This window comes from Homo sapiens, chromosome 16, assembly GCF_000001405.40.
Source record: "Homo sapiens chromosome 16, GRCh38.p14 Primary Assembly".
NCBI classification, from domain to species: Eukaryota; Metazoa; Chordata; class Mammalia; order Primates; family Hominidae; genus Homo; species Homo sapiens.
Genome location: NC_000016.10, coordinates 56,518,258 through 56,529,457, shown reverse-complemented (window position 1 = coordinate 56,529,457; position 11,200 = coordinate 56,518,258). Strand labels below are relative to the sequence as shown.

At 46.4% G+C, this 11,200-nt stretch overlaps 1 protein-coding gene and 1 long non-coding RNA gene across 9 annotated transcripts in view, besides 2 other annotated features; both read left to right on the top strand.

Moving 5' to 3' along the window:
- Window positions 1–666: 666 nt before the first annotated feature.
- Window positions 667–4,479, top strand: LOC105371283 (uncharacterized). Its single transcript, XR_001752206.1, has 3 exons — window positions 667–837; window positions 1,636–1,771; window positions 4,000–4,479. It is a non-coding gene; the product is annotated as an uncharacterized LOC105371283 (long non-coding RNA).
- Window positions 9,031–9,100: an enhancer, noted in NCBI's record as "active region_10851". NCBI's record gives its function as "activates an Ori minimal core promoter by ATAC-STARR-seq in GM12878 lymphoblastoid cells {active_cell/tissue: GM12878}" and the evidence as "EXISTENCE:reporter gene assay evidence [ECO:0000049][PMID:35858748]".
- Window positions 9,434–11,200, top strand: part of BBS2 (Bardet-Biedl syndrome 2) — a 49,622-nt gene continuing 47,855 nt past the window's right edge. For all 8 annotated transcript variants that reach the window (NR_165297.1, NR_165296.1, NR_165295.1 and 5 more), the window contains exon 1: window positions 9,434–9,712. Coding sequence is in view for 3 of the 8 variants with exons in the window: in NM_001377456.1 (NP_001364385.1) it covers window positions 9,596–9,712 (117 nt within the window). In the remaining 5 variants the exon portion in view is untranslated. The remainder of the gene's footprint in view (window positions 9,713–11,200) is intronic.
- Window positions 9,741–9,900: a silencer, noted in NCBI's record as "silent region_7509". NCBI's record gives its function as "represses an Ori minimal core promoter by ATAC-STARR-seq in GM12878 lymphoblastoid cells {active_cell/tissue: GM12878}" and the evidence as "EXISTENCE:reporter gene assay evidence [ECO:0000049][PMID:35858748]".

The following is an 11,200-nucleotide window of genomic DNA, read 5'->3' as shown; positions in this document are numbered from 1 at the left end:
CTTTTTGGAATCAAGTCGTGAAGTCCAGCCCATCTATCAATGGGAGGCGAGTTAAGCTCCACCTCCGGAGTGGAGGAAGTATACATATACTATTTAGAGTTATTTATTCATAGAGAAAGCTTTTTTTTTTTTTGAGAAAGGGGTCTCACTCTGTCACCCAGGCTGGAGTGCAGTGGTGCAATCTCAGCTCACTGAAACCTATGCCTCCCAAGCTGGAGCAATCCTCCTGCCTCAGCCTCCTTAGTAGCTGAGACCACAGGTATGTGCCACCACGCCCAGCTAATTTTTGTATTTTTGGTAGAGACAGAATCTTGCCATGTTACCCAGGCTGGTCATGAACTCCTGAGCTCAAGCAATCCACCTGCCTCAGCCTCCCAAAGTGCTGGGATTACAGGCATGGGCCACCACGCCTGGTGGAGAAAGCTTTTTTTTTTTTCCCCGATAGGGGAAATAGCATATTTGTATTTTGCTGGAAGTGATCCAAAAGGGAACAAAATACCTGTGAGAGTTTCTTTGGTTTCTCCAGTAAGTGCTGAAAATGTTTTCACACCAGGACTTTTCTCATTTATAAAAACCTTAATAATATTCCTTATTTAGCACAATATATGCAAAATACTATGATTTCAAAATATGATCAATATAAAAATATTAGTCAGATATTTGAAATTCTTATTTTATGTGAATTCTTGCAGACTTGTCTTGTATTTTACACTTACAGCTTATTTCAGTGAACTGGCCACATTTCAAGTTCTCAATGGCCATATGACTCAGGCTACCATATTGGAGAGCACAGCTCTAGATCTTTTTGAAACCAGTGCAGGGCAGGCCAGGATCTTGGTGAGTGTGCACTTCATTCTCCAGTCCCCAGTCTCTCAACTCTACCATCTTTGTTGTATTTCTGTGACTGCAATTCCTGAAAGTTCATGTTGAGGAAGCATCTTGATAGTGACTTTTTTTTGTAGTTAAAATGATATTTTTACTTTTTCTCTATTTTATTTTTTAATTTTTAAAAATTTTGTGAGTGTATAGTAGATGTATATATTTATGGGGTACATGAGATGTTGAGATACTGGCATGCAATGTGAAATAAGCACATCCTGGAGAATGGGGTATTCATCCCCTCAAGCATTTCTCCTTTGAATTACAAACAATCCAGTTACACTCTAAGTTATTTCAAAATGTGCAATTAAGTTATTATTGACTATAGTTTCCCTGCTGTGCTATTAAATAGTAGGCCTTATTCATTCTTTCTATTTTTTTGGTACCCATTCACCATCCCCATCTCCCCCCGATATCAAAATTCTGAAGTGCCAGTTTTGGATACTGATAAAGCTGAGTGCTAGCTACCTAAGTACCTTGAATTGTGACAACAATTCTTCTCCCTTTCCCAGCATGGTGATTTCATAGTCATGTTTTCTTTCTGTGTTTTCTTCATAGTGCCTTTCACGCTGCTCCCTGATCTTCCTCTGTTCTTACCTTTGAACTTTTAAAAATTGAACTTCTCATTTTGAGATAATTATAGATTCACAAGCAATTATAAGAAATAATATAGAGAGACCTTAAGTCTCTTTACCTATTTTCCTCTAATGGTAACATCTTGCAAAATAAGTTATTCTCTCTCCTTTTAAAATAAAGATATTTGGCTGCTTTGTGAAGGCAAAGTGGGAACAGAGAGACTGCTGAGAGGTGACTGTGATTGGGCAGAGATTTGGACCAGGAGAGAGCATGAGAGGATGCTGGACCATGCTGCCATTCTGGGGGAAAGGTGGAGGTGAGCTGTAGCCACACGACCCTCACAGGAAACACTGATGCTAAACTCCAAAAAGAACCTCCTTTACAAAGGCCAAGTCAAAAGCATAGTCTGTGTATCAAGTCAGTTTCCAGCAGGAAAGAGGGGGTACAAAGTGTTTACAGTTTACAGGGGAGGAGAAACAATTTTCCCTTTACCCTTCTGAGTTCTTAGCTGGGACCCCTGCTAACATTTGCCACAAGAGACAGATTAGCAAGAGAAAAACAAGATTGTATTAACATGTATATATTATATGTGCATGGGAGACAGCCAGGGAATGAGTAATTCTCAAAGAGATGATTTAGAATTCCAGCTTATATAGTATCTCTGACAAAAGACAATAAATTTTTAGAGAAGTGACAGGACAAAAAGGACCTTGAGTCTCTAAGGGATCGCAAATTGTAGGAAGGCAAATATACAAGAAACTAATGGTAGGTAAAGGCTGGTTAGTAAAATTTGTTAGGAAGATTCCTCTGGTCTAAAAGGCCCTGAAGACATCTTCATTGATCAACCTTTGTCCTTCCCAGTAGAAAGGGGAGGAGGACACCTATGTCCTGCTTTAGGCAAATAGAGGCAAACAGCAAGCTTTTCTTATATCTGCTTCTTCTCAACTGCTTTCAGCTTAAAATAATCCTCATGTCAAATGGTATATTTGGTGTGGAAGAGCCTGCTACCTTTCAACAGAACCAGAGTTTAATGAAGGGACGATTTACAGAGGTGTGGGCAGGATTAGGGACATCCAGGAGAGATGATGGGGCACCTAGAGACAAGCACAGTGGAAACTGTCGTTGTCCCTAGCCCTGAAGGAAGGAGAGAGACAGGTGGCATTACAGGGCCCAGGGAAAGTTGGAGTAGAGGTTGAGGAATTGCCCAACAGAAGCAGTGGTGGTAGGTAGAGGAATATAACCACTGCCAAAATTATACCCAGCAGCGGGAAAGGAATCAATTTTCTGACCTTTCTCCCCTCCCATCATCTGACTACACGGGCCATGAAATCTGCCAAGGTTGGCCTTCTCAGCATAGACCAGGACAGAGGAGAGAGAGGACGGATCTGGAGAGGTGAATGGAGAATAACAAAATACAATTTCAAAAACTCTACAGTGGGGGAGCTTTAGAAACAGTTCTATTATCTGTACAGGACACATTCTATTTTTTTTTTTTTTTTCGAGATGGAGTCTCGCTTTGTCTCCCAGGCTGGAGTGCAGTGGCATGACCTCGGCTCACTGCAACCTCCACCTCCCGGGTTCAAGCGATTCTCCTACCTCAGCCTCCTGAGTAGCTGGGATTACAGGCACGTGCTGCCACACCCAGCTAATTTTTGTAGTTTTAGTGGAGACCGGCTTTCACCATGTTGGCCAGGCTGGTCTTGAACTCCTGACCTCGTGATCCACCTGCCTCGGCCTCCCAAAGTGCTGGGATTACAGGTGTGAGCCACTGAGCCTGGCCTGTACAGGACACATTCTAGATGTGCAGTGATTCCATTTTAATGTAAGTGCTTCTCACTTAGTCTCATTTTCAGCAACTTTTTCCAAGATTATTTACAGGCTTGATCTACATGAATCTAGGAAACACCGTGGACCCTGGCTTCACCTGGGGGTGGAGCAAGGGCCTGAGAGGAGGGCTGCACGATGCTTTGAGTGATAGGGGATCCTGGACACTGGGATGTGTGGCCTCTCCAGGGATTTTCGAGCCCATGAAAATGTCAGAAAATCCCCCATAACAAGAGGCCACTGGGAGCTTGGCCAAGGGTGTCGTGTGGTTGGATATCTCAAGGTTGCTTGTGGCAAACATGAAACTGGAGGTCTGAGACCCTCTGCCCCTTTTCTGGCACCACTAGATATCCAGGGTTCTGATGGGTCTCTGAGGGTGGGGGTGGGAGGTAACTAACACTGATTTCAGTGGCTTTTCCTACCACTTCCATGGGATATGTGTGTGTGGGGGATGGAATTTGGGCTTGAATTCGTTTCTGATCCATAAATTGGGGATAATAATATTACCTCCTTCACATGATTATTGGGAAGATTGAGATGATCATATACGTAAAGAATTTAGCAGTCTGGCACGTAGGAAGTGCTCAACATATGTTAGCTATTAGTAGCAGTCGTAGCTTTTCCTCCTGTCTACTGACCGGAAGGTGCTGTTTCTGTTTTTCATATGACACATTGCAAAGTGACTTTGAACGTATGATTCTTAATTTCATTTCTTGCAAGTGTGAAATGAGCTGACAGAAGAGACCAACATGGAGAGCCTCACCCCCACGGCCCACAGCAGACACATCACAGAGTTACCAGGAATTCCAGAAAGGAAGTCAAGTGATGAAAGACTGAAGGATGGGAACCCTGGGAGGACTGCTCCCTAAGGGAAGCTGGGTGGAAAGTTCTCACGGAGTCCAGCCCCGTTCCGCCTGCTCTGCCCTGGGGGTCTCCCAGCCCCTGTCCCTCCGCGAATTGAGGAGCGGTCCTAATTGCCAGTTGCCTTAAAGAGTTTGGGGAAACTGAAGACTGGGGTCCTTTATAGGCAGGTTCTGGATCAAGAGGGGTGGGGAGAGGCCCTGCATTTGGATTCCTGAAATCCACAGAAAACCCTGCCCTTACACTACTTTATTTTAAAGGTTTTGTTTTTTTTTAAATTACAAAAGTAAAACAAGCGTGCTGTAAAAATAGCATAAACATGTACAGTGCATAGGCTGGGCTCGGTGGCTCATGTCTGTAATCTCAGCACTTTGGGAGGCCGAGGAAAGTGGATCACGAGGTCAGGAGTTCAAGACCAACCTGGCCAAGATGGTGAAACCCTGTCTCTACTAAAAATACAAAAATTAGCCGGGCATGGTGGCAGTCACCTGTAATCCCAGATACTCGGGAGGCTGAGGCAGGAGAATCGCTTGAACCCGGGGGTGGAGGTTGCAGTGAGCCAAGATCGTGCCACTGCACTGCACTCCAGCCTGGGCGACAGAATGATACTCCATCTCAGGAAACAAACAAACAAACAAACAAACAAACAAAAACCATATACAGTGCATAAAGAAAAAGGCAGAAGTCCTTCTCCAGGTGGCCTCCCTGCCCAAATCTGCTCCTCAGGGTGGGCCCTGAGGCTGCTGGAGTCTCCTGTGCTGGGGAGCCCTCCACGCTGCCTCCCTCCAGGCCTTTAATCCAGTCTTGAGGTGCCCGAATCTCTGTTTTGTACACCTGCACACCTTCTAGTGGGGGTACTTTGCAAACTCAATGTGAGGACAAGCAGATGGAATGGCAAGTGGCAGGTGTGGCCTAAGGTATCCTCCCATCGGGCTCCCCCACCCTTGGAAATTAGGATCTTAAATTTTGGTCCTGACCAAGTCCCACTAAAACTTGGCTACTAGGTTGGTTTTCCAATTCCAGGGCCAAAAGGAAACTGGGAACAATGCTACCTACTAGCAAAAGAAAAAAAACCAAATTTGTTAGAACAGTGACCCTAACTAGTCAAAGGCAGTGCTTTCACCTAGAGGTAATAATAATAACCACTTCTGGGAGCCCTTATTGAAGGCTGGGCTTTGCTTTAAGAGTGAGGACTGCTAATATTTCTCTTTTCTAGATGAGGACACTGGTGCTCAGGGAGATTCACTGCAGGAGGCAGGAGAGTGCAGTGGTGAGGAGCTCAGGCTCTGCGGCCCGACCACCTGGTCATCCATCCTGGTTCTGCTGCTTATCAGCTGTGTGACCTCAGACTTACATTATGGAGTCTCTCATGACTTGGTTTCCTCTCTAGTAAAATGGGGATGATGACAGTGTCTCCCTCCAAGGGGGGTGGTGATTAAATGAGTTACTATGTGGCTGGGCATTGTGGCTCATGCCTGTAATTGCAGCACTTTGGGAGGCTGCAGCAGGAGGATCACTTGAGCCAGGAGTTTGAGGTTACAGGGAGCTATAATCGCACCACTGTGTTCCAGCCTGGGTGACAGAGTGAGACCTTGTCTCAAAAAAAAAAAAAAAAGAGTATGTGTCAAGTGCCTGGCACAGAGAAGATGCTCAATAAATATGAGAACTGGGATTAAATTATGGGCCTAAGTCTCAGCTAGTGGCTGATGGAGAAGGCATCTGAATCCAGGTCTGATGTGGTTGAGGGTCAAGGGCTTACCCGCTATGTAGTGCTGTCTCCCTAGAGCCTGCCGGCTCTCAACTCCTCTCCCACCTTCAAGGCCTAGATCCTCGGGAGTCCCAGCTGTCACTGATGTGAGGATGACACGTGTCTCCTCTGAAGAACCAATGATTCCTGGTGAGTCATGGGAGGCAGAGAAGACTCTTGGACTTTTGGCAGAAGATGGTTAGCCCTGGGCCTTTCTCCTCGGAGGAAAGCCTGTAAGTCCCTTGCCCTGATGGGTGCTTGGCAGGGAGGATGGGGGATTCCCTATCTTTCTAGGGATACCCTAAACTCAAGTACCCTCATTATGATACAGGATCTGACGCAAGCATAGGGGAAGTGTGGCTGCCTCCTAAGGGTGGAAATAGCAATGAAGGAGGCTGTCAAACATGATTTGCTGGAGTGGTGATGTCCAACCTGAGTCTTCAAAGATGGGGGGAAGTTATGAAGGGAGGGGAAGGACATTCTGGGCAGAGGGCACAATTTGAGCAGAGAGGCTAGACATGGTATCTGAGAAGGATCAAGTCTGAAGAAAGAAGCAGCAAAAGATGAGGCTGCAGAGGTCAACAGTGGTCAGAATTTGGAAATCTTTGTATAATCTGCTGAAATGCTTGGACTTTTTTTGATCGAAAATAGGGAGCCAATGAAGAGTTACAGAGGAGATAACAATGGTAAAGTTTTGTCAGGTGTAAAATGGGATAACCATACAGTAACCCTACAATCATAGGATTGTAGGATTATTGTTTGGTTATCCCATTTTACAATCCTGCATAGGATTGTAGGATTATTGTATAATCATACATTATTATACATTATATATTATAATCATACAATAATCCTATGTAGGATTGTAGAATTATTGTATGATTAAGTGAGATGATGCATATAAAGTTCTTAGAATGGCACCTAAAAAATGCTCAGTAAATGTTAATGATGTTGATGCTGATGACTGTAATGTCCTATTAGGAAGAGAAACCGCAAAGTTAGAGGCCACCTAGGCAGTCCATACAGTAAGTAAGGCGTGGCCGGGTGGATGAAGGCCAAGACCAGCCTTACATAGAAATCCAGTCCATGCCAGTCCATGGACTTGACTGCCTGCTGGAGTAAAACCCAAGCTCCTTGGCGTGGCTCAAAAGCACTAGGTGACCTGGCCCCTTCTCACACGTTAGGCTCCAGCCACATTATTTTCTTTCTGGTCTTCAAGCATGTCCAAACTTGTCCTGTGTCCTTGCTGTTCCCTCTGTCTAGACTGTCCATCCCTCACATCTTTGAATGGCTGCCACTTTCTTGTCACAAAGCTCTTGGTTCAAATGTTACTTCCTCTAAGAGAACTTCTTGAGCCCTAGAACATCAGCCTTCTCGCCAAATGAAATGATCTTACTTGTTTTCATGTTTAGTGTCTATTGCTTCCTATCCCCTAGAGGATGTAAACTCCATAAGTGTATGAATTATATCTTTCTTGTTCACTGCTGTATCCCTAGGTCCTTCAACACCGTCTAGAACATGGATACCCTCAATAAATGTTTTCCAGGAAAAAATAAAGGATCTGAAATGATGTCTATTAGAGTCATTCCTTTCAAGCTATTCCTGGGAGAGGTAGCTGATCAAGCTGTGATCAGCTAGTAACACAGCTGAGTGAATTCAGTGAGATGATGACTTTGTGTAGGTAGAATCTGGGGACTAAAGAGAAGGGACATCACAAAACGAAGTAAGTTCCAATGACCCAGGGTAATTTCCATGGCACCGCTGGTCAGGGAGCTGCTATAGGACTTGGGTGTAGACAGGTGACAGAAGGGTGGGGGTGGAGACAGGATAGAAAGAGGCTGGGTCTTAGAAGCATGGTCCATCAGAGGGGGCCTGGAGGGCCACTGACTCAGGTCTTACATTCCATCGAGATCTTTAAATTTAGGCTGGGAGTAGTGGCTTACACCTATAATCCTAGCACTTTGGGAGGCCGAGGCTGGAGGATCACTTGAGGCAAGAGTTCGAGATTACAGTGAGCTGTGATGGCACCACTGCACTCCAGCTTGGGTGACAGCATGAGACCTCGTCTCTAAATAAAATAAAATAAAAATCAACTTTTAAAAAGTAACAACTTTCAAACTTAGTCTTTTAACATTATTTAGTATTTTGATATTATCTCCAAAAGAGGTTACAAATAGTCACAGACACACCAACAGGGTTGAAAAAAATGCTCATTTGTATAACTGTAATTACAAAATGCAAGTATCAAGAATATTCCAGAACTCATCTTTCTTTTTTTTCTTTGAGATGGAGTCTCGCTCTGTCACCCAGGCTCGAGTGCAGTGGCAAGATCTCAGCTCACTGCAACCTCCGCCTCCTGGTTCAAGCGATTCTCCTGCCTCAGCCTCCCGAGTAGCTGGGACTACAGGTGCCCACCACCACACCCAGTAAATTTTTGTATTTTTAGTAGAGACAGGGTTGCATCATGTTGGCCGGGCTGGTCTCGAACTCTTGACCTCAAGTGATCCGCTCGCCTCGGCCTCCCAAAGTGCTGGGATTACAGGGGTGAACCACCGCCCCTGGCCCAGAACTCATCTTTCAAAACTGGCCCGCAGCATCTGACACAGTTGTTTTCCTCCTTCTGGCCACCCTCTCTTCGAGCTTCCAGGACACTATACTCTCCTGATTGTACTTCCTTGCTGGCTACTCCAAGTCTCCACTAGTGGTCCTTGCTCATCTCATCATCCACCCCAGATTGTCCATTTCCAGAAGGCAGCAGAGTGAGCCCCGGGGGCCTCACCTGAAGTTCCTCTGCAGGAACAGCCTCCCTCGAGGCTGGCTTCCTCACTTCCTAATAGTCCTAGGCTGAAGGTCACTTTCTCAGAGAGGTCTCTTTCCTACCACCCTACTTAACACTGCATTCCCTCCAATCCTCTCTCCCCTCTTCCTTCCCTTAATTTTCTCTAGTGCTCACTACCAAATGACATGCATTTCTTGTTTAGTGCTTGTCTCCCCTGACTAGTATGTCAGTTCCAGGAAAGCAGAGGTTTGTCTTTTGTTTACTACTATTTATTATCTAGCACAGTGTCTGACACACAATAGGCCCTCAAGGAAATTCTGTTGGTCACTTTTCAATTTTGCTGGTTTGCACTTAAAAATATATAGGGAGCCTTACCAGGAGCCCTAGACCGAACGTGAGTCTAAGGATTGGTATGGTTTTCCTCCATACAACGGCTAAAGCAAGGGACAGAGCCGACACTCAAGGAATATTTCTTGAATTAATGACCTTCTGGAGTGGGGTAGCATTGTGTCAAGTTTGCAGGGTGCAGCTTGGATGTGGTGCTAGAAGGGGAAGCCTCTGGGCTGAGCATGTAGGCTCGTCAGTAGAGTTCAACCCGCAGGAGTAAATTACTGCAGTGGGAAACAACCGCACCCGCGGCCCAGCAGGGGTTCCACTGCGCAGCCGCAAAAGGCGCCGAGGCTCCACTGCGCAGCCACAGAAGGCGCCGAGGCTCCACCGCGCAGCCGCAAAAAGAGCGGACGGGTCTGCGCCGCCGCAGGAGGAGCAGGCGGTACCTGGACGGGTTCGTCCCGGGCTGTTTCGCGTCCGGCCTGAGGCGGCTGGGGCCGCGCAGGTAGTGTCCCTGCACTTCTTGCCCGGGCGCGTGAGGCCAGCTCCGCTGCGCTTGTCTCCAGCTTCCAGCCCTCCTCCCCTAAGCCGCCGCCATCATGCTGCTGCCTGTGTTCACCCTGAAACTGCGCCACAAAATCAGCCCCCGAATGGTGGCCATAGGGCGCTACGACGGGACTCACCCGTGCCTGGCGGCCGCCACCCAAACGGGCAAGGTAACCGCTCCCACCCGCAGGGAGCCCGGGCCCCAGGGAACCACAGGATCTCCGCCGGCCGCGCCCCTGGGATCCCGTCCCCTCTCCGACCCCGCCCCCAGCCCGTGTTGCCCGGCAACCGGTCGGCGAGCACCTTGTGGCTCCATCCTGCAGAGGACAGTGGGGTCTTAGAGGAAGAGCTTTTCTGAGAAGTTGACGTTTTCTTGTCATCAGGCACTTGGAGTCAGGCGAGGTCGGGGTCCCTGGACATAGGGAGCTTAGAAAAGAGACGTCTCCTGAGGGAAGGGGTTTGGTTCGGGTTAGCAGTAATAACCGACCCCAGATTCAAGCCAGGGGCCTCTGCTTGTCACTTGGAACTCGGAATTCCTCTGACTCTCTAACACTGCTTCTTCTTCCTTTTTTTTTTTTTTTTTTTGAGACGGAGTCTTGCCCTGTCGCCCAGGCTGGAGTGCAGTGGCGCAATCTCGGGTCGCTGCAGCCTCCGCCTCCCGGGTTCCTGCAATTCTCCTGCCTCAGCCTCCCGAGTATCTGAGATTACAGGCGCCCGCCACCACGCCTGGCTAATTTTTGTATTTTTAGTAGAGACAGGATTTCACCATGTTGGCCAGGCTGGTCTCGAACTCCTGACCTCAAGTGATTTACCTGCCTCGGCCTCCCAAAGTACTAGGATTACAGGCGTGAGCCACTGCACCCAGCCTTTCACAGTCCTTTACCGAACAACGACAAAAGAATGCAATACAAAAATTAACTTATTCAAATTGCACTTTTGATCCTTGCCCATGTACATTCAGTTCTTTCCCCGTAATTTATTCACTAAGTATTAGGTGTTTACTATGTGCGATTACTGGGCAAGATGTGAGAGTCAAAGAGATAAAAGAGAAATCATGTAACATTCACCAGACTTCTACTAAACACCTTCTGTATAGATTTTGGAGACTCGGATGTAAAAGGAGTCCCTACTTTCAGAAAGCTTATAGTCCAGAAGCTAACAGACAAGGCAAATCAGAGCCCTGTGTATTTGACGGAGGCATGCCCAAAATACATGGAATGTAGTGACAACGCTAATAACTTATAACAGGCACAAAACTTTATTACATGAGTCATCTCAGCGTCGTTGTCACAAGGCCAACGGCAGCAGCATGGCATAGGGATGGTGTTTCTTGGCTCCAGTACCTACTAATTTCATGACCTTGGGCAAGGCACTTAATAATAGTACCTAATACGTGGGGTCATGAGCTTTAAAAAAGTTAATACATGTAAAGTGCTTGACATATAGGAAGTGGTCACTGATTGTTACCTGTTATTTTCTTTTTATGGTTCTCACTTTATTGACTAGAAATTGCAGTTCAGAGAGGTTCAATACAGTGCTTGGAGCCACTCAACTAGAAAGTGTGGAATGTGGTCAGAGTGCATGTTCTCTGATCCAGTGTGGATTTAATAAGCTAGGATTTGTGTAACAATTTATAGTTTTTAGGACACTTCCATGTA